The 20,927-nt window shown below is 49.8% G+C and overlaps 1 protein-coding gene across 15 annotated transcripts in view, besides 6 other annotated features; it reads left to right on the forward strand.

Moving 5' to 3' along the window:
- Window positions 1-15,246, forward strand: part of IL4R (interleukin 4 receptor) — a 51,023-nt gene extending 35,777 nt beyond the window's left edge. For 12 of the 15 annotated variants that reach the window (XM_011545826.3, XM_011545825.2, XM_047434067.1 and 9 more), the window contains 5 exons: window positions 3,008-3,164; window positions 6,276-6,375; window positions 9,384-9,462; window positions 11,234-11,283; window positions 12,720-15,246. In XM_011545826.3, the coding sequence (XP_011544128.1) occupies window positions 3,008-3,164; window positions 6,276-6,375; window positions 9,384-9,462; window positions 11,234-11,283; window positions 12,720-14,298 (1,965 nt within the window). In that variant the 3' untranslated portion in view covers window positions 14,299-15,246. Of the gene's footprint in view, window positions 1-3,007; window positions 3,165-6,275; window positions 6,376-9,383; window positions 9,463-11,233; window positions 11,284-12,719 lie in introns of those variants that run through there. The other 3 variants (NM_001257997.2, XM_017023211.2, XM_005255308.2) reach the window with 3 other exon arrangements.
- Window positions 14,039-14,539: an enhancer, noted in NCBI's record as "H3K4me1 hESC enhancer chr16:27374892-27375392 (GRCh37/hg19 assembly coordinates)". NCBI's record gives its function as "activates a minimal SCP1, AML or CMV promoter by ChIP-STARR-seq in naive H9 embryonic stem cells {active_cell/tissue: H9 hESC(naive)}" and the evidence as "EXISTENCE:reporter gene assay evidence [ECO:0000049][PMID:30033119]".
- Window positions 14,540-15,040: an enhancer, noted in NCBI's record as "H3K4me1 hESC enhancer chr16:27375393-27375893 (GRCh37/hg19 assembly coordinates)". NCBI's record gives its function as "activates a minimal SCP1, AML or CMV promoter by ChIP-STARR-seq in naive and primed H9 embryonic stem cells {active_cell/tissue: H9 hESC(naive and primed)}" and the evidence as "EXISTENCE:reporter gene assay evidence [ECO:0000049][PMID:30033119]".
- Window positions 15,526-16,725: an enhancer, noted in NCBI's record as "P300/CBP strongly-dependent group 1 enhancer chr16:27376379-27377578 (GRCh37/hg19 assembly coordinates)". NCBI's record gives its function as "activates an origin of replication core promoter dependent on BRD2, BRD4, P300/CBP, MED14 and CDK7 cofactors, with strong dependence on P300/CBP, by STARR-seq in HCT116 cells {active_cell/tissue: HCT116}" and the evidence as "EXISTENCE:reporter gene assay evidence [ECO:0000049][PMID:35650434]".
- Window positions 18,099-18,158: an enhancer, noted in NCBI's record as "active region_10616". NCBI's record gives its function as "activates an Ori minimal core promoter by ATAC-STARR-seq in GM12878 lymphoblastoid cells {active_cell/tissue: GM12878}" and the evidence as "EXISTENCE:reporter gene assay evidence [ECO:0000049][PMID:35858748]".
- Window positions 18,189-18,268: an enhancer, noted in NCBI's record as "active region_10617". NCBI's record gives its function as "activates an Ori minimal core promoter by ATAC-STARR-seq in GM12878 lymphoblastoid cells {active_cell/tissue: GM12878}" and the evidence as "EXISTENCE:reporter gene assay evidence [ECO:0000049][PMID:35858748]".
- Window positions 20,282-20,482: a silencer, noted in NCBI's record as "peak2541 fragment used in MPRA reporter construct". NCBI's record gives its function as "represses an SCP1 promoter by STARR-seq MPRAs in K562 erythroleukemia cells {active_cell/tissue: K562}" and the evidence as "EXISTENCE:reporter gene assay evidence [ECO:0000049][PMID:32103011]".

Below are 20,927 nucleotides of genomic sequence, written 5' to 3' on the forward strand. Positions count from 1 at the left end.
TAAAAGGTTTATGGGTGTGAAAATTCATGGAATGTTTGAGGATTATGGGGTTGGGGGATGTGGGAATATGTGTAGCGATAAAGCACCAAACAAAGCCAAAAGTTTAGTTAGAGCCCTGAATGCCTGCCTCATAATGGTTTCCATATTTTATATGCCTACTATGTGCCAGGCACATTGCTCAGGGTCACACAGCTGGAAATGGCAGGGCTGAGTTTTTGTTGTTGTTGTTGTTGTTGAGACAGAGTCTCACTCTATCACCCAGGCTGGAATGCAGGGGCGTGATCATGGCTCACTGCATCCTTGACTTCCTGGGATCAGGTGATTCTCCCACCTCTGCCTCCCAGGTAGCTGGGACTACAGGCACAGGCCACCACGCCAGGCTAATTTTTTGTATTTTTAGTAGCGACAGGGTCTCGCCATGTTGTCCGGGCTGGTCTGGATCTCCTGGCTTCAAGTGATCCCCCTGGCTCAGCCTCCCAAGGTGCTGGGATTACAGGCTTGAGCCACCGCATCCAGCCCAGATCTGAGATTTGCACCCAGTATTTGAACTCCCAAGCCTGTGCTCTTTTTCCTCCCATGGACATTTCTCTCAGAGATGGTCTCCCAAACACCTGTCCTTCTTGTTAAAAAACAGACAAACCGCAAGTAGTTCTTTGGAAGCTCAGATTTCTCTTTTGTTTCTTAGTAAAACATTTCCCAGTTCCCAGCTCCCTTCCAGGGTGTAAGATTTCTTCGGTAACTTACATCTAGCTGTTGCTTCTTGTTTGCTCATGTTTAGAAAGAAAGACAAAAGAGAGTGAGAATTTTCTCTCCCTTCCCCAGTCTCCCCACAACTCACACCCCACCCTCAGCTCCCTCTGTAATAGGAAAATCTCTGAACTCTCTGTAGTTGCTCCAGCAATCTTTTGGAACTTTGCTTCTTTCTTGTGAAAAAACCTCCCCTTGGCTCACTTTGCACCAGGTTTCCCCAAATGTGCTTCCAACCACAAGCAGAAATGGAGCTGCCAGTAACCAGGAAGAAACTGCCGGGGGCTGAGGAAGAGGAGAGGGAGGTGCATAGCCCTGGATCTCGCAGGGAGAGGGGTGACAGGATGAGAACTCAGGTTGCTCACTTGCCATCAGGGTCAGTCATGAATATAGCGTTCATGTATCACTTTTTAAAGCTTTTTTGGAGGGTAAAAGTAATAGTTACACAAAATAAAAATACAAATGGTACAAAAGGACTTAGAATGGAAACATGTTTCTCTCCCGACTCCAGCCTCCTGTTTTTCTTCCCAGAGACTGACCACTGCTGTCTGTCTCTTGCCAGAAGGGAAAGGGAGGCAAGGTTAGGGCAGGCAGAGGGCATGTGCATCCTTTAGAGAGAGCTTATGTCTATACAAGCAAATGTGTGTGTTCAGTCATCGCTGTCTTAGTTTTCTATTGCTGCATAATAATGGTACTACCAGCTTCACAGCTTTAAACAACACCCATTTATTATCTCATAGTTTCTGTGGTTGGGAGTCTGGACATAGCTTAGCCAGGTTCTCTGCTTTAGAGTCTCGTGAGGCTATAATCAAGGTGTGGGATGGGGCTGCAGTTTCATCTGAGGCTCAATTGGGGAAGGGTCACTTCTAAGCTCATACAATATTGGTGACATTCAGTCCCTGGCAGGCTGTTGAACTGAGAGCCTCAGTTTCGTGCTGGCTGTTGGTTGTAGTTAACCCTGAATTCCTTCCCATGTGCCCTTTGCAAAGCCATCAAGGCAGAGAGACTTGCCTAGCAAGTAGGATATTACAGTCTTCTGTAATATAATCACATCCATGAAATCCTCTATATATCCCATCACCTTTACCATATTCTGTGGGTTAGAAACAAGTAGCAGGTCCTGCCCACACTCGAGAAGACCAGATGACACAAAGATGTGATTCAAAGTGGGGATCATCGGGGCCATCTTAGGTTTGTCTGCAGTGATCACTGTGCCATCTCTCTCTCTCTCTTTTTTTTTTTTTTTTTTTCCGAGACGAAGTCGTCACTCTGTCACCCAGGCTGGAGTGCAGTGGCATGATCTCAGCTTACCACAATCTCTGCCTCCCAGGTTCAAATGATTCTTCTGCCTCAGCCTCCTGAGTAGCTGGGATTACAGGTGCCCGCCACCACACCCAGCTAATTTTTGTATTTTTAGTAGAGACAGAGTTTCACCATGTTGGCCAGGCTGGTCTTGAACTCCTCACCTCAAGTGATCCACCCACTTCGGCCTCCCAAAGTGCTGGGATTACAGGCATGAGCCACCATGCCCAGCCCCATCTCTCTTTAAAAAACAAACAAACAAACAAAAAACATAAAAAGAAGCAGAGAACACATACACATCTGCATCTTCCCTTGTTTACTTAACAATAGATCTTGGAAGTCACTTCTCAGTAGAGGCTAGGTTGGGCAGAGCATTGGATTCTAGGCCAGTGAGTTTGGACTTGACCATGGAGACACTAGGAAGCCCATGAAGGACAGAGAGAGATGCCTCGACCCTGCCAGTCCTTTAGAAAGATCACCCAGTGCTTTTTGTATACCAAACCCTATTTGAAATACTTACGTATATTAACCCATTTCCTTATCACCACAACCCTGCGGGAAGGGAGATAGGCACTTTTATTATCTTCATTTTGCAGATGAGGACATTGAGGTCCAGAGAGGTTATGTCACTTACTTAAGGTCACACAGCCAGGAAGTGGTAGTAGGGACTCTTACCCTTGTTTTACAGATGAGATTGAATTATCTCACGAAAACTCAGAAAGGTTAAACAACTTGCCTAAGTAACATACAGCTAATTAGTCGAGGAGCCTGACGCATGTTGCTGTAGCCTGGTCACAGTTACAGAGGTGGCAAGCAATGGCCTGAACAGGACGAACAACCAAATACCCAGGCTGGTGGCTCTTAAACATGGTGGGGTCAGCTAACGACAGCAACCAGGGTGGGCACTGGTGCCCCTCGCCCCCGGCTGGTGCCCTAACATCTCCCTTTTCTCTACCAGTTCAGAATCTATAACGTGACCTACCTAGAACCCTCCCTCCGCATCGCAGCCAGCACCCTGAAGTCTGGGATTTCCTACAGGGCACGGGTGAGGGCCTGGGCTCAGTGCTATAACACCACCTGGAGTGAGTGGAGCCCCAGCACCAAGTGGCACAACTGTGAGTATCAAGAGGCCTAAGCAATGGTAATCTCCACTCTCCATTCTTCCCCTGTGGCCAGACACTTCCCCTGGCTGAGTCTCTGGGCTTTTATATCATAGGATGCCTCTAATGGCAATCCTGCCATTAGATACACCTGCCGTGGTGTATCTGCCAGGTAGGCAGGCTAGGCTGCAGTAACAAACAAGCCCACAATTTCCATGGCTTAACACTATGGGAATATATTTCTTGCTCACGTAACAAGCTAACGTGAATGTTGCTGGTTTGTAGGTGGTTTCCCTCCCTGTAGAAATCTGGGGAGTGAGGTTCTTTCCATCTTGTGGTGCCGTCATTCTCCAGGACAAAGATTCTTACCTACTTTTGTGTCCTGGTTTCCTTTGGCAGCCTGGTGAAGCCTATGGACCTCATTTCAGAATATTTTTAAATACATAAAATCCCAGCCTGGGCAATATAGTGAAACCCCCATCTGTACAAAAATTAGCCAGGCATGGTGGCATGCACCTGTAGTCCCAGGTACTGGGAAGGCTGAGGTGGGAGGATCACTTGAGCCCAGGAGTTTGAGGCTGCAGTGAGCCGTGATCGTACCACTTTACTCCCACCTGGGTGACAGAGCAAGAGCCCATCTCTAAAAATAAATAAATACAATGAAATAAAATAAAATAAATAGAACTACAGAGGAAACTAATTGTATTGAAATGCAGTTATAAAACATTTAAACACATTTTTAATCTAGAGATATATGTGCTTCTTTATTAAGATCTATAAATAATAAGTTCTAGGGGTAGCTCGCATAAATACTGTAATTTCAAAGTAGATAAGCATAAATAATACTTTATGATACTGAAATTGTGATGTGATATGAGAATAGCTGTGAGTTTTGTTTTGCTGGGGACAGGATCAGTGATGCTGTCATTACTGGGGTCTCTTCCCTCCATTCTTTTTTTAAAATTGTATTTTATTTTATTTTTAAAATTTTAAAATAAATAGAGACAGGGTATCACTATGTTGCCCAGGCTGCTTTTGACCTCCTGGGCTCCAGTGATCTTCCCATCTTGGCTTCCCAAAGTGCTGGGATTACAAGTGGGAGCCAGTGTTCCTGGCCCCTTCCTCCATTCTTAATGGAAGGAGATGCTAGGTGTGAGAGGTTAGGGAAAGTAAAGATGTAATTTCTTTCCCATCCAAGTTCTCAGACCCCTGAATTCTACCTGCAGCCATGTTGGTCCATCAACCCCAAGTGAAGAATCCCTGCTCTAGGGCCCCACCATTGTCTGTATCCAGCCAGCAGAAGAGGCGTGATTATGGAGATCACATCTGCTTCTTGAAAGCAGACAGCCCGGAAGTGGGCCGCATCACTTCCTCTCAAATTCTATTGGTGAAAATGGTCACATGACTACACATAGCCACAAAGGAGGCTGGGAACTTTCTCACTTGGAACCTACATCCCAGAAACAACTCTTTTCAGTGAGGTATCCCACAGGTCTTTCGCAGTAGAAATATTGATTATCTCACATAAAATGAAGTCTTACAAATGGACCTACTGGGTTTTGTACAGCAGCCAAGTGATATCTCTTCCCTTCTGCTGTCTTCCCTTCTGCCATCCTTCACATGGTGGCATTGTATCCTTAGACTTGCCACCCATGCCCTCAGGTTGGCCGTTGCACACTGTCTTACATAAAGCAGGAAGGAAAGGAAAGGCTGCTACGAGAGAGTGTACCTTGTGCATCTCTTTTTTAATCAGGAAGCAAACATCTTTCTAGAAGCTTCCCTAGCAAAATTCCCCTTACATCTCATTGGCCAAGACTGTTACATGTTACATGGTTACTGTTATTACTTGCTCATTGCAAGGAAGACTGGGAACTCAAATGCCTGGAAAAAGGAACAGGATAATCGTGATTGGCTCAAGCCTTAGGGTGGGCATGGCTCCCTGACAAGGGAGAGAGGAAAAAGCTGTTGAGTGAAGAAGACTGCTTCAGTTTCCCCATCTGTATAATGGGAGGAGTAAGGGCTGTCGTAAAAACTCAATGAAAGAAGATTCTTCAACGTGGTAGGTGCAGTGGCAGCTGGCAGTACCCTGACCCTGCCACCGCACAGCCCTCTCAGCATTGCTCATCCTGCACTGTGGATATCAGTTGAGCCACGTGTCTCCTGCCCTGGGCTGTGAGCTCCATAGGCAGGGTCTCCATGGCTGTATCTCCAGAACCCAGCACAGAACCAGGTGCTTGGGAAAGTTTTGAATTGATTCTCATCTGCCATTGGCATGGGGAAGGGAACTAGCTTGTATGAAACAGATAACAATGTATGGGACCCTCATTCATTATTTCAGCAAATATTTGCTGAGTTCCTCCTACATGGCTAGCCCTGTGCTAGACACTGGGGAATCGGCGATGAACAAAGCAGATAGAAATCCCCACTCTTGTGGAGCTGACATTCTGGAGGGAGAGACAAAAAGCAAACATATAAAGAAAGAAAGAAATCACATGGATCTGGATGACAGTGAGTGCTGGGAAGAAAATAAAAGCAGAGGAAGGGGATGGAGCGATGGGCAGGGGGCAACGGTAGGGAGGGTGTCGGGGAAAACTTTTTGGAGAATGTGACGATGAAAGTGAACAAGGAGAAGTCAACCGTGTTGAGATGATGGCAGCTAATGATGTGGACAGGCCACTCTGTTCTGAGTGCATTATCTATTGATTCATCATGTCATCCTCGCAACAGCCCTGCACGATCAATTCTGTCATTAACCCCATAGTACAGATGAGGATGCGGAGGCACAGAGAAGATAAGGGACTTGTCCTGTGTCACACAGCAAGGAGCCATCCGGCTCCTAAGTTGGTGCATTTGACTTCTGTGCTTCCGGAAAGAAAGAGCAGCAAGTTTAAGATCTGGAGGTGGCACTGAGCTTTGGAGGAGCAGGGGGCAATGAGGTGGCCGGTGTGACGAGGACTCAATGTGCAAGAGGGAGAGTGGTGGGGAGATGAGGTGGAGGGGTGGTCGGCGGTCAGATCGTGGAGGGTCTCGGACGAGGGTCCTGACCCTGGGTCTCCAGTCCTGGGAAGTGGAGCCCAGGCTGTACCATGGCTGACCTCAGCTCATGGCTTCCCCTCCCACTTCCAGCCTACAGGGAGCCCTTCGAGCAGCACCTCCTGCTGGGCGTCAGCGTTTCCTGCATTGTCATCCTGGCCGTCTGCCTGTTGTGCTATGTCAGCATCACCAAGTGAGTCCTGGGCCCAGTGCTGCCGAGCAGTCCCTCTGGAGTGCAGGGTGGCAGGGACTTGCCCCTCTAGTCTGCCCCTTTGCAGTCCTCTCAGTCAATAATACGCATTTACTGAGCAGCTACTACACACCTTGAGAGTAGAGCTGAGAACATATCGACAAGGACCCCACTTTTTTCTTTTTTTTTTTTTTTTTTTTTTTTTGAGACGGAGTCTCACTCTGTCACCCAGGCTGGAGTATAGTGGCACAATCTTGCCTAACAGTAACCTCCGCCTCCCGGGTTCAAGCAATTCTTCTGCCTCAGCCTCCAGAGTAGCTGGGATTACAGGCGCATGCCACTATGCCCGGCTAATTTTTTGTATTTTTGGTAGAGATGGGGTTTCACCATGTTGGTCAGGCTGGTCTCGAACTCCTGACCTCATGATCTGCCTGCCTCAGCCTCCCAAAGTGCTGGGATTACAGGTGTGAGCCACTGCACCCAACCAGGACTCCACATTTCTAAAACCGGCATCCTACTGGGGAGACTGAAAATACATATCAATCACAAACAGGTGGTTTTCCATAGTGACCCACTCTCTGAATGCACTAGACCAGGGTGCAGGCCAGAGATCTTCTGGGGTGCTTTTTGCAAGGGGGACCAGGATAAGGCTCTCCAAGGAGGGAAAATTTGAGGGGGGCCCTGACTGGGGAGAATGAGCTGGCCAGGGATAAGCAAGATGGAGTCATCCCACATCCCCTTACAACGCTGGGTGCCTGGGCAACTGGGGGCATCTGGGGGCATGTGGTAGGAGCCAGAGGAATTTGCGACGATTGCCCTGATGGAGTCAGGAGACCTGGGTTTGAATCCTGGCCTTGGAGCTTGGTAGCTGGCGGCCGACAAGTTGCTGAAACCCCTGAGCCTGGGGTTCCTGCTTTGCAGAGTGACAGTGATGGTGAGAACATATTTCATCAGCCAGAAGAGGCCAAATCACAGTAAAGGCTGAGGGAGGAGATGAGTGGCGAGTGGCTGGGAGGTGGTGGAAGGAGCCTCGTTTCCAGAGAGCTCTTGCCAGCCCTTGGAATCATGGTGTCTCAGAGCCTCAGTCCTCCCATCTCTGAAATGGGACTAGCAAGCTCAACCTCACTAAGTCAGGATTAGAGGTGGCTAAGGATTATTAACATGATTGATGAAAGTGCCCACTCTTGGCCCAGCACACACTAGGTAGGCAGGGAATGCAAATTCCCCTCCATATCTTGTCACTGATGCCTCCGAGCAACCTTGGACTGATCGCCTTGCTCTGAGCCTCAGTTTCCCCATCACCTGTACCTCTTCCCACTCCCCATCACTATATCCCAGCATGCCAGCCTCTTTGCTGTTCTTTGTCTTTGGTTTCTTGTTTTGTTCTGTTTTTTAGACAGGGTCTCACTCTGTTAGCCAGGCTGAAGTGCAGTGGCGCGGTTACGGCTCACTGCAGCCTCCAATTCCTGGGCTAAAGAGATCCTCCCATTTCAACTTCCAGAGCAGCTGGGACAACAGGCGCTTGCCACCACACCTGGCTAATTTTCTTATTTTAATTTAATTTAATTTTATTTTTTGGGACAGAGTGGAGTCTCAAAAACCAAGCTGGAGTGCAGTGGTGCGATCTCGACTCACTGCAATCTCTGCCTCCCGGGTTCAAGCGATTCTCCTGCCTTAGCCTCCCGACTAGCTGGGATTACAGGCGTGTGCCACGACACCCAGCTAATTTTTGTATTTTTAGTAGAGATGGGGTTTCACCATGTTGGCCAGGATGGTCTTGAACTCCTGACCTCAAGTGATCCACCCACCTCGTTCTCCCAAGGTGCTGGGTACAGGCATGAGCCACTGTGCCTGGCCAATTTTCTTACATTTTGTAGAGACTGGCTGTCACTTATGTAGCCCAGGCTGATCTTGAACTTCTACCCCTTTATCTTTATTCATGGCACTTATTACCATGAATGAATGACCTCATATAAGCATTTCTTTCGTTTTTTTTTTTTTTTCTTTGAGATGGAGTCTCATGTTGTCCCCCAGGCTGGAGTGCAGTGGCGCGATCTCAGCTCACTGCAACCTCCGCCTTCCGGGTTCAAGCGATTCTCCTGCCTCAGCCTCCTGAGTAGCTGGGATTGCAGGCGCCTGCCACCATGCCTGGCTAAGTTTTGCATTTTTAGTAGAGACGGTGTTTCACCATATTGGCCAGGCTGGTCTCGAACTTCTGACCTCAGGTGATACACCTGCCTTGGCCTCCCAAAGTGCTGGGATTACAGGCGTGAGCCACCATGCCTGGCCTCATATAAGCATTTCTGTCTCCATTTATCATCCATCTTTCCCTCTTGAAGGTCAGTTTCACCAAGGCAGGCATCTTTGTCTCGTTCACTGTTGTGGCCTCAGGGCCAGGCACAGTGAGTCAAACATAGAAGGTGCTCAATAAATATGTGTTTATTTATTGAAACCATGGGCAGAGGCTAATTCAGAAGCGGTCTGAGGACCTTACCTCCCAGTGATGATGCACCATGGCCCCAGGCAGGCCAGGAAGAGAGAAGGGTTGTGTTTCTCCGTAGGTCCCCCAGCTTCCCAGGCCATCCCAGGCCATTCCCTGGTCATTTGCCCTCAGCTGCTCTGAAAAAGGGATTGTTGAGGGGAACCTAGAATCCTCTCTCTGCAGTTTGAGTCTTTCCTAATCCCCTGGGGTCTCATTCCCACTGAGGACATAGGTGGCCTCCTCAGGAACTCTGTGCTGGGTAACAGAATGCGGGAGTGTGAACCTGGCTCTGCCACCTACCAGCTGTCACTCCACCTCCTTGGGCCTCACTCTCCTCATCTGTAGAATAGGGTTAGCAATAGAATCCATGTCACCAGGTTAGAATGATGAGTCAGTGGTTTGACCTCCAGAAACTAATCAGCCTGATCTCTGATGCCAAATAAGTATTGGTGATAACGACCACTTTTATGGGAGGAGCGTTCACCTGTCAATAATTCAGAGATCAACACCTTTTCCTTTTGTTTTTCAGGATTAAGAAAGAATGGTGGGATCAGATTCCCAACCCAGCCCGCAGCCGCCTCGTGGCTATAATAATCCAGGATGCTCAGGTAGGAGTAGGCGTGGATGAGGACATGTGGGACTGTGTACATGAAGAAGTGTGGTTCAGAACACCTGGGCTGTTAAGGACCTTCACTGGCTTCTGGAATGGCAAATAGACAGTCAGGAGGGTTGCAGGGGAGACAGAGACAGAAGCCGAATGAGGTCATTAGCAGACCAGAGGCTTTCCCGCCCTTCCCCTTGGCAATCCCAGCCTGGGGTGGGCTTCTCTGGGGTTGGTTTCCTGTTTTTTTCCCTCCCCTTGGGAGAATGACCCTTGGGTCATCATCACTGTGTCATTCCCTGGGGAGGTGCCAGTACCAGGGCTAGAGGCCAGAAGGAGTGGAGGAAGGAGAGGGTGACAGGCTTTCTGTGTCTTCTTCTTAAGCATAGGAAACTGCCCCCGAAGCACTAGCAAATCCCTTCCGGGTTCTCATTGGCCTGAAATGTATCCCACCCCTAAGCCAGGGGTGGAGTCAGCTTCCCCAAGGCGATGGTCCTGTGGGTGAGTGGGTGGGGTTTGCCTGAGCAAGATGAGAGTTCTCTAGGTAGGAGAAAGGGGGATTATAGGTCCTGTCTAGAAGAGAAGGTCTGAGGGTCCTTGCTTTTCCAGGGACTCTGGAATCTAGTGGTGTTGGCTTTGAATCCTGACTCTGCCACTCACTGGCAGTGTGGACTTGAGCAAGTTGCTTAATTCTCTGAGCCTCAGTTTCCTCTTGTGGGTTATAACAGTGTTTACCTGGTAGGACAGATATTGGAATTTATTGAGACAATACATATAAAGTGCATATTCCAGCCTCTTGCAAATACCAAGTGCCATTTATGTATCAGTTAGTGTTTGCTGTGTAACAAACGACCCCGAAATGTAGAGGGTTACAACAACTTTATTTAGCTTATGCTTCTGCAGGCTGGCATTTGGGGCTGGGCTCAGCAGTGAGGGTGGCGGGGGAGGCTGGGCTGGGCTGGGCTGGGCAGATCTGAATTGAGCTGACCCGTCCCCGTAGCCTCCCTCCGTGTCTGACAGTTGGCTTTTTTTTTTTTTTTCTTTTTCTGAGACGGAGTTTTGCTCTTATTGCCCAGGAGTGCAATGGCGTGATCTTGGCTCACTGCAACCTCTGCTTCCTGGGTTCAAGCAATTTTCTTGCCTCAGCCTCCCAAGTAGCTGGGATTACAGGCATGTGCCACCACGCCAGGCTAATTTTGTATTTTTAATAGAGATGGGGTTTCTTCATGTCGGTCAGGCTGGTCTGGAACTCCTAATATCAGGTGATCCACCCACTTCAGCCTCCCAAAGTGCTGGGATTACAGGCGTGAGCCACTGCACCCAGCCTAGTTGGCTGACTTTTACCTGGGACAGTGCAGGTGCCTGAGCCATGTGCCTCTCACTCTCCAGCAGGCCGGCCCAGGCTTGTTTACAGAGTGGCTCAGTTTTCAAGGGTGGGAAGTCCCAAGGCTTCTTGAGGCCTAGGCGCAGCACTGGCATGATATCACTTCCATCACATTCTATGGGCCCAAGCAAGTCCCAGGGCCAGTGTAGATTCAAGGGATGGGAGGAGATTCAGAGCACTCCTCTGTGGCCACTTTTGCCATCGACCACAGTCCCTGTAAATATTAGGACAATGTAATTAATTCCCAGGAATCTGAAGCTCAGAAAGCGTAAGTGACCTGTTGGACTTCTGATCTGTGTGATGTCGAGGCTTGTACCCCTTCCTGAGCATTGCCGTACTCCAGGCCGGGCTGCAAGGCCACTCTGCTCTTTCATTGGCTGTCTCTGTATTTTAGGGGTCACAGTGGGAGAAGCGGTCCCGAGGCCAGGAACCAGCCAAGTGCCCGTATGTATCTGAACTTAGGTCACAGCCTGCATGCATTGGGAAGGTGATAGAATTGGAGAGGCAAGCCCCTAGCTCCATGTCTGCCTTCTCTTCCCTGCATTCGGTAATTGCCCTGTGACATTAGCCTTCAAGGGACGGCAGGAGGAGGGGTGTTCTGGAAACGTGGACTGCTGGCCAAGCCCCCTGAGTTTCACTGGTGTGTCAGGTACATGGTGATACCCCTTGGGAGTGCTGTTATAGTTAACAACCAGAGCAGCCGTGCCTGTTGTTAAAATCTTGACCTAATTGTATACTTGTCGGCAAATAGCCACTATCCTGAACACTCCCCTCCTTTTTTTTAATATACAGGATCTCACTCTGTGGCCCAGGCTGGTGTGCAGTGGTGCGATCATAGCTCACTGCACCTTCAAACTCCTGAGCTCAAGTGATCCTCCCATCTTAGCCTCCCGAGTAGCTGATACTACAGATGTGCATTACCACGCCTGGCTATTTTAAAAGGTTTTTGCCTGTAATTCCAGCTACTCAGGAGGCTGAGGCATGAGAATCACTTGAACCCGGGAGGCAGAGGTTGCAGTGAGCGCAGATTGTGCCACTGCACTCCAGCCTGGGCGACAGAGTGAGACTCTTGTCTCAAAAAAAATAATACCAAAAAAAGTTTTTGTAAAGACAAGCTCTCGCTGTGTTGCCCCGCCACTGTGGCCTCCTTAGCTTCTTCCCTGGGGCCTGCTGGACCTTTCCATACTCCAGAAACTAAAGGGGGTCCAGGACCCTGCTTCAACCCTAGGATCCCGCATCTTTTTTTTTTTTTTTTTTTTTTGGACGCAGGGTCTTGCTGTGTCCCTCAGGCTGGAGTGCAGTGATTCACTGCAGCCTCAAACTCGTGGGCTCAAGTGATTCTCTAGCCTCAGCCTTCTAAGTAGCTGGGACTACAGTCATACACCAACATGCCCAGCTAATTTTCCTTTTTTTTAATTCTTGTAGAGATGTTTGAGACGGCTTGGGCTCTGTTGCCCAGGCTGTTCTCAAACTCCTGAGCTCAAGCGATCCTCCCTCCTCAGCCTCCTAAAGTGCTGGGATTACAGGCGTGAGCCACCGCACCCGGCTTCCATATCCTTTCTAATTGGTCATGGCTTGGGATAATGGTGTTGCTTTTAATTATCATCATCCATAAAGACTTTTTCTTACTCAACAGATCTGAGCTTGTATTTGGTGCCCAGGACATGTGCTGGGTTCCCGAAATCCCAAAGACACAGACCCTACCCTCAGGGATTTCTCATTCTAGCAACATAGACTGATCAATTACTGATTATAACGTTAGAAGGCATGTCTGAAGTAGACAGCCATCAGGACATGGTGATTTCAGGCTGGGCTTTGAAGAATGAATAGGAGTTTTTCAAGTGTCGAAACTGAACCCTGACCAACCTTTGCTTTTGCAGACACTGGAAGAATTGTCTTACCAAGCTCTTGCCCTGTTTTCTGGAGCACAACATGAAAAGGGATGAAGATCCTCACAAGGCTGCCAAAGAGATGCCTTTCCAGGGCTCTGGAAAATCAGCATGGTGCCCAGTGGAGATCAGCAAGACAGTCCTCTGGCCAGAGAGCATCAGCGTGGTGCGATGTGTGGAGTTGTTTGAGGCCCCGGTGGAGTGTGAGGAGGAGGAGGAGGTAGAGGAAGAAAAAGGGAGCTTCTGTGCATCGCCTGAGAGCAGCAGGGATGACTTCCAGGAGGGAAGGGAGGGCATTGTGGCCCGGCTAACAGAGAGCCTGTTCCTGGACCTGCTCGGAGAGGAGAATGGGGGCTTTTGCCAGCAGGACATGGGGGAGTCATGCCTTCTTCCACCTTCGGGAAGTACGAGTGCTCACATGCCCTGGGATGAGTTCCCAAGTGCAGGGCCCAAGGAGGCACCTCCCTGGGGCAAGGAGCAGCCTCTCCACCTGGAGCCAAGTCCTCCTGCCAGCCCGACCCAGAGTCCAGACAACCTGACTTGCACAGAGACGCCCCTCGTCATCGCAGGCAACCCTGCTTACCGCAGCTTCAGCAACTCCCTGAGCCAGTCACCGTGTCCCAGAGAGCTGGGTCCAGACCCACTGCTGGCCAGACACCTGGAGGAAGTAGAACCCGAGATGCCCTGTGTCCCCCAGCTCTCTGAGCCAACCACTGTGCCCCAACCTGAGCCAGAAACCTGGGAGCAGATCCTCCGCCGAAATGTCCTCCAGCATGGGGCAGCTGCAGCCCCCGTCTCGGCCCCCACCAGTGGCTATCAGGAGTTTGTACATGCGGTGGAGCAGGGTGGCACCCAGGCCAGTGCGGTGGTGGGCTTGGGTCCCCCAGGAGAGGCTGGTTACAAGGCCTTCTCAAGCCTGCTTGCCAGCAGTGCTGTGTCCCCAGAGAAATGTGGGTTTGGGGCTAGCAGTGGGGAAGAGGGGTATAAGCCTTTCCAAGACCTCATTCCTGGCTGCCCTGGGGACCCTGCCCCAGTCCCTGTCCCCTTGTTCACCTTTGGACTGGACAGGGAGCCACCTCGCAGTCCGCAGAGCTCACATCTCCCAAGCAGCTCCCCAGAGCACCTGGGTCTGGAGCCGGGGGAAAAGGTAGAGGACATGCCAAAGCCCCCACTTCCCCAGGAGCAGGCCACAGACCCCCTTGTGGACAGCCTGGGCAGTGGCATTGTCTACTCAGCCCTTACCTGCCACCTGTGCGGCCACCTGAAACAGTGTCATGGCCAGGAGGATGGTGGCCAGACCCCTGTCATGGCCAGTCCTTGCTGTGGCTGCTGCTGTGGAGACAGGTCCTCGCCCCCTACAACCCCCCTGAGGGCCCCAGACCCCTCTCCAGGTGGGGTTCCACTGGAGGCCAGTCTGTGTCCGGCCTCCCTGGCACCCTCGGGCATCTCAGAGAAGAGTAAATCCTCATCATCCTTCCATCCTGCCCCTGGCAATGCTCAGAGCTCAAGCCAGACCCCCAAAATCGTGAACTTTGTCTCCGTGGGACCCACATACATGAGGGTCTCTTAGGTGCATGTCCTCTTGTTGCTGAGTCTGCAGATGAGGACTAGGGCTTATCCATGCCTGGGAAATGCCACCTCCTGGAAGGCAGCCAGGCTGGCAGATTTCCAAAAGACTTGAAGAACCATGGTATGAAGGTGATTGGCCCCACTGACGTTGGCCTAACACTGGGCTGCAGAGACTGGACCCCGCCCAGCATTGGGCTGGGCTCGCCACATCCCATGAGAGTAGAGGGCACTGGGTCGCCGTGCCCCACGGCAGGCCCCTGCAGGAAAACTGAGGCCCTTGGGCACCTCGACTTGTGAACGAGTTGTTGGCTGCTCCCTCCACAGCTTCTGCAGCAGACTGTCCCTGTTGTAACTGCCCAAGGCATGTTTTGCCCACCAGATCATGGCCCACGTGGAGGCCCACCTGCCTCTGTCTCACTGAACTAGAAGCCGAGCCTAGAAACTAACACAGCCATCAAGGGAATGACTTGGGCGGCCTTGGGAAATCGATGAGAAATTGAACTTCAGGGAGGGTGGTCATTGCCTAGAGGTGCTCATTCATTTAACAGAGCTTCCTTAGGTTGATGCTGGAGGCAGAATCCCGGCTGTCAAGGGGTGTTCAGTTAAGGGGAGCAACAGAGGACATGAAAAATTGCTATGACTAAAGCAGGGACAATTTGCTGCCAAACACCCATGCCCAGCTGTATGGCTGGGGGCTCCTCGTATGCATGGAACCCCCAGAATAAATATGCTCAGCCACCCTGTGGGCCGGGCAATCCAGACAGCAGGCATAAGGCACCAGTTACCCTGCATGTTGGCCCAGACCTCAGGTGCTAGGGAAGGCGGGAACCTTGGGTTGAGTAATGCTCGTCTGTGTGTTTTAGTTTCATCACCTGTTATCTGTGTTTGCTGAGGAGAGTGGAACAGAAGGGGTGGAGTTTTGTATAAATAAAGTTTCTTTGTCTCTTTATTTTTTATGTATTAACCAAACATACCTCCAGACACTGCTGTGAGTGCTGTGTCTCTGTTAACTCCTGGAATTCACCCATCCAGAGGAACCAGGATGCAAGAGGTTAAGAAACTTGCCATCTGGGTTTGGGTTCCCCATACAAGGATTCAAATAGTTGATTTAGGAAGTAATCCCGGGAAACCCTGCTAAGGTAGTGGGGAACTGAGGCAGGGAAGGACACAAACCAAGAAAGTGTTACCTGAAAGGGGTCCAGATGCAGACCCCAAAAGAGGGTTCTTGAATCTCATGCAAGAAAGAATTCAGAGCGAGTCCATAGAGTCAGTGAAAGCAAGTTAATGAGGAAAGTAAAGGAATAAAAGAATGGCTACTCCGTAGACAGAGCAGCCCTGAGGGTTGCTGGCTGCCTATTTTTATGGTTATTGATTAATTATATTCCAAACAAGGGGTGGATTATTATGCCTCCCTTTTAGACCATATAGGGTAACTTCCTGATGTTGCCATGGCATTTGTAAACTGTCATGGCGCTGTTGGGAGTGTAGCAGTGAGGACAACCAGAGGTCACTCTTGTTGCCATCTTGGTTTTGGTGGGTTAGAGCCATCTTCTTTACTGCAACCTGTTTTATCAGCAAGGTCTTTATGACTTGTATCGGTGACGACCTCCTGTCTCATTCTATGACTAAGAATGCCCTAACCTCCCAGGAATGCAGCCCAGTAAGTCTCAGCCTCATTTTACCCAGCCCCTCTTCAAAGCTCCAGTTTAAATAAACCTCTGACAAAAGGGTGAGTTATTCAACAGATTACCAGCATGAGTAACTGATGCTTACCTGCCGGGGATCTCTGGAAGACCATGCATGGCACATGCCCAGTTATGCCTGCAAAGGAGAGGGAGCTGGGGTATTTGTCCACCAGCTCCCATCTGTCATTGGCTGAGAGCTGCTTCCAGGAGCATTAATTCTCCAGCACTTCCAGCTACTCCAGGAAAAAAAAAATTCTTCAACTGAGAGTTGGAGGTGTTGAGAGACTCTGGCACACCAAGAAGACAGGAACAGGACACCAACAGTGGCTGATGATACACTGCCAAGGTCACACAGCTAGTTAGCAACAGATCTATAGTGGAATCCAGACAGTGTCTCCATCACCCAGGCTCTCTGTAGTGATCTGCGCTTCACATCCGAGGCAGGCAGAGGGATGGTGTGGGCCTTAGATGGGAAGGCTGGGAACCTGAAGCTCCTATGTCTGTATCACTTTTGCTTCTCTGAGTAGCTGCCCTGATTTCACACTTGAGGGGCTTGGCCATTTTAGATTCCTTCCTGCTCTAGGAGCCTACATACTACACTGGAAATGATGGGGAGCTCTCTACCTCACATGCAGCCTGATGTTTGTTAGAAACACCTCCTTGCGCCAGGCATGATGGCTCATGGCTGTAATCCCAGCAATTTGGGAGGCTGAGGCGGGTGTATCACTTGAGGTGAGGAGTTCAAGACCAGCCTGGCCAATATGGTGAAACCCTATCTCTACCAAAAAATAAAAAATTAGCCGGGTGTGGTGGTGGGTGCCTGTAATCTCAGCTACTTGGGAGGCTGAGTTGGTAGAATTGCTTCAACCTGGGACGCGGAGGTTGCAGTGAGCTGAGATTGTGCCATTGCACTCCAGCTTGGATGACAGAGTGAGACCCTGTCTCAGGAAAAAAAAAAAAAAACAAAAAAAACCTTGTTCTAAGCCAAAATCAATCCCTTTAGCTGCCCAAATCACACAGTTTACAGATGGAGAAACAGTTTTAGAGAGGAAAAGGGACTTGCCCAAAGTCACCCAGAGAATGGCAGAGCCTGAACTAGCCTTCTGGACTTCTTGCCTCCAAAAGCTCTTTATAATAAAATATAATTTTAAATAAAAATAGTTATCTGTTTAGGGCCAAGCAATATGCTAAGTGCCGTCCAGCCACTGTGTCATTTACGTCTCCAAACAGCTCTAGTTGGGAGGCTCAATGATTATCCCAATTTTACAGATAAGGAAACAGGTCCAGAGAGGTTGAGGATTAGCCTAGAACCACACAGCTAGGAAATCCTGGAGCCAGGATTTGAACCCGGGTCTGACCTAAGAGCTCCCAGCCGCCGTGATATATCAGCTTATGTCATCCTGACACCTACGCAGATGTCGGCTCGAATCCACTTTGCCTGAGCATTGTCTCAGAGAAATCTAATTTAAAAATTAGGCAGCAAATAGAAAATATATTTGACTGCTAGAGATGCAATGGGACTGGGAGCCCAACAAAGGATCTTAGGCAAAAGAAATCCAAGTTGTTGGCCTCAGCAACTATTACTGAACTGGCTGGGCTTTGGGAAGCTACAGAGGGATGAGAAGACCTGGTGGATCAGGTGGGCCCAACTCAGGCTGGCCCCCACCCTGCAGGAAGTAGGAAAAGTCCAGGGTCATAGGCCCAGTGAGATGCCGGCTGCGGGAGTTTCAGCCTCCGGGGCTGGACCAGAGGGCAGGAGGGGACGCCCCTGGGTAGCAGCGCCAGAGTGGGCTGAGTGGCCTGGGCCCCTGCGGGGGAGCTTTCAGAGATGTTGATTTGGGGGTACTCCCTCAGCCCTGCCTTTACACAGAATTTGTGGGGGATGAGGGGAGGGGGAAAGGGGGGAGGAAGGCAGTGAGTGCATCTGAATTTTTTTTTTTTTTTTACAAAAAGTGGCTTATTGCATTTTTCTGATTACTCTATCAGCACGTGCAGACCTTTTCCTATTCAGAGAAAGCCTGAAGATATAAAGAGGAAAGTGAAGAAAAACCACCGGAAATCCCATCCCCGCCCCAGCATCTGGCACTGTGTGGGCGATCACGAAATGAGCGCTTGTTTTTGAAGGCGTAGTATCTCCGTGAACATCCGGTTGAACAACCTTTCTGACTTTATTTTTCCCACGAAAGTTATTAATTAAAAAACAAAAAGCAAAACACCGAAAAAACAAAAAACCCAGCAAGTGTTTGAGCTCCCACCACGAGGGAGGCCTGACGTCACTGGATCCTCCCGGCAGCCGATGAGGCTGCATGGGACTTGCCCACGATGTGCTGTTACCGAGTGGCATAGCCAGGCTTCAAACCAGAGTCCTAGCTAACCGCCCTGTATATACCATGGGCTCATCATCTTCCCTGGTTCCAGCTCAGAACAGAGACTCAGAGGAACAAGGGCTCTGCGCTCACCCTGCCTGGTTAGGTCCAGCCTTTCCAATTCCAAGCTGTGTGACCATGGGAAAAGTGTTTGCCCACTCTGGGCCTAAATTTCCTCCTTGGTAAAAGGCACACAAGAGCAGTACTCTGCACGCCACAGTGGTGGGGTGAGCAGCAGATGACGTGGTGGGTGGAGGCCAGGTGACACCAGGCTGCTCTCAAGCTTAACTTGCCTGTGATGGTGGCGGGACCGTGTCAGTTCTTCCACCAAATCCCACCTGTTTCCACGACGTTTATTGACAAGTCAGGGGCACCGCCCCGGGTGGAGGGGGTGTGAAGAGGAAGTCAGCTCCCTGGTCCCTGCTGCCCTCTGGTGACCACATCAGCATCAGCACCTGCTCCATCCCAGCAGCTCCAGGTCCAGGCCGTGCCCAGAAAACTTGGCCTGGGAGATTCCCCACCCGCCCTGCCCCGATCCCACCTCTCTTCCATCTCTGCATTTTCCAGAAATTCCCCCAGCACCAGACAAAAGAGCCTAATGTCCATTAGATATGCTGTGTGGCGCCAGGCCAGCGTGTAACCTCTCTGTGCTTGATTCGTTATCTGTAAAATGGGAATCATTATAATATCTGCCTCATGTAGCTATTGTGAGAATTAAATATGTTAGTACCTGTGAGGTCCTTAGAACTATGCCTGCGGCTGGGCACAGTGGCTCACGCCTGTAATCCCAGCACTATGGGAGGCCAAGGTGGGCAGATTGCCTGAGGTAGGCGTTTGAGACCAGCCTGGCCAACATGGTGAAACCCTGTCTCTATTAAAAATACAAAAATCAGCCAGACATGGTGGCGGGTGCCTGTAATCCCAGCTACTCGGGAGGATGAGGCAGGAGAATTGCCTGAACCCAGGAGGCAGAGGTTGCAGCAAGCGGAGATTGTGCCACTGCACTCCAGCCTGGGCAACAAGTGGGACTCTGTCTCAAAAAAAAAGAACTATGCCTGCAAATAGTTAATGCCTTAAAAGTATTTGCTAACATTCTTCTTCTTCTTCTTTTTTTTTTTTTTTTGAGACAGGGTCTTTCTCTGTCACCCAGGCTGGAGCGCAGTGGCCCAATCCCGGCTCACTGCAGCCTTGAACACCTGGGCTCATGTGATTCTCCCACTTCAGCCTCTCAAGTAGCTGTGACCACAGGTGCACACACCACTAAGCCTGGCTAATTTGTTTTTTAATTTTTTGTAGAGACAGGGAATCACTATGTTGCCTAGGCTAGTCCCAGACTCCTAGGGTTCAAGCAATCCATCCACCTCGGCCTCCCAAAGTGCTAGGATTACAGATGTGAGCCACCATGCCTAGTCTGCTAACATTATCCTTAATATTACACTGAATATGTCTGTGGATTTTGTGGGAGGTGAGGGTATAAAACATAATTAGAGGAAATAATGACATTCTAAATTTAATTTGACTTTATTACAAAAAGGGCAGAATGGAGCAACAGTAATCCAGGACAAAAAATTGTCCCAATCCCATCATTCAACCCACTTGTGTTTGTATCTGTTTGTGCCACTTCTGTGTGTTGTTTACATGCAGAGTCAGTGTTTGCGTATTTGCGGTTTTATATCATTCATTTCTCATCATACATACATATATTTATATTCCTGACATTTTTCTAGGGAATATCTTTATATTCCTGACATTTTTCTCTTTTTCCCTTATGTTCTTCCATACCGGGACTTATAGGACCTTGCCCAGACTCAACTTCCCTCTTCCCCATGGACCCAAGTTGCTGAGCTTCCAACAGGTGTTTACAGCAAAGGAGAATGAGACAGAGAGAAGCAGAGATGCAGAGAGAAAGACAGACAGAGAAGACTAAACTGATTGATCCCAACTCCATTATGATATCTGACTCCAACCACAGAATGACCCTGATCCAGCCACAGACTGACTTCTGATCCTGGCCACAGTCCACCTCCTGTCCTCAGCCACAGAACAGCTCTGACTCAAGCCAGGAACTGAGTCCCGACCCATGTTACTGACTTACTCATGATCCTGGTTGCAGGCTGGCCCCAGCCACATGCTGACCCCTGACCCTCACCACAGATGGATCTTTGATCCCAGCTATAGGCTGATCTCTGATTCTGGCTGCCCTGAACCACCACTCCTATATACTGATGACCCACCTTAGCGTGATCCCACCCAGGAACTGGCATTTCCTGGGACAGGCTCTTGGCCACCTGCTGCTCTGCCCTGGGCACACCAGGCCCTACGCATCCTCCCCCTTCCACCACCATCCATGATTTCCTGATTTCTAGCAGCAAATTTAGCTTGAGTTGGTCAACATAGCTGGGCTGCCTGACCTTCCTCTCTGCCATGGAACCACAGAGCAAGTCAGCAGTTCTCCTTCCTAATCAAAAAGCAGCATGGAGGAGAAGGCTCCTTTGCCACCTTCCTTTCTGCTTTGGATGGTGCTTTTGCAATCATGAGGAGACAAGCCTGGAGATGAAAGGAGGCATTCTGAATATGGT

This window comes from Homo sapiens, chromosome 16 (assembly GCF_000001405.40).
Source record: "Homo sapiens chromosome 16, GRCh38.p14 Primary Assembly".
Lineage (NCBI taxonomy): Eukaryota > Metazoa > Chordata > Mammalia > Primates > Hominidae > Homo > Homo sapiens.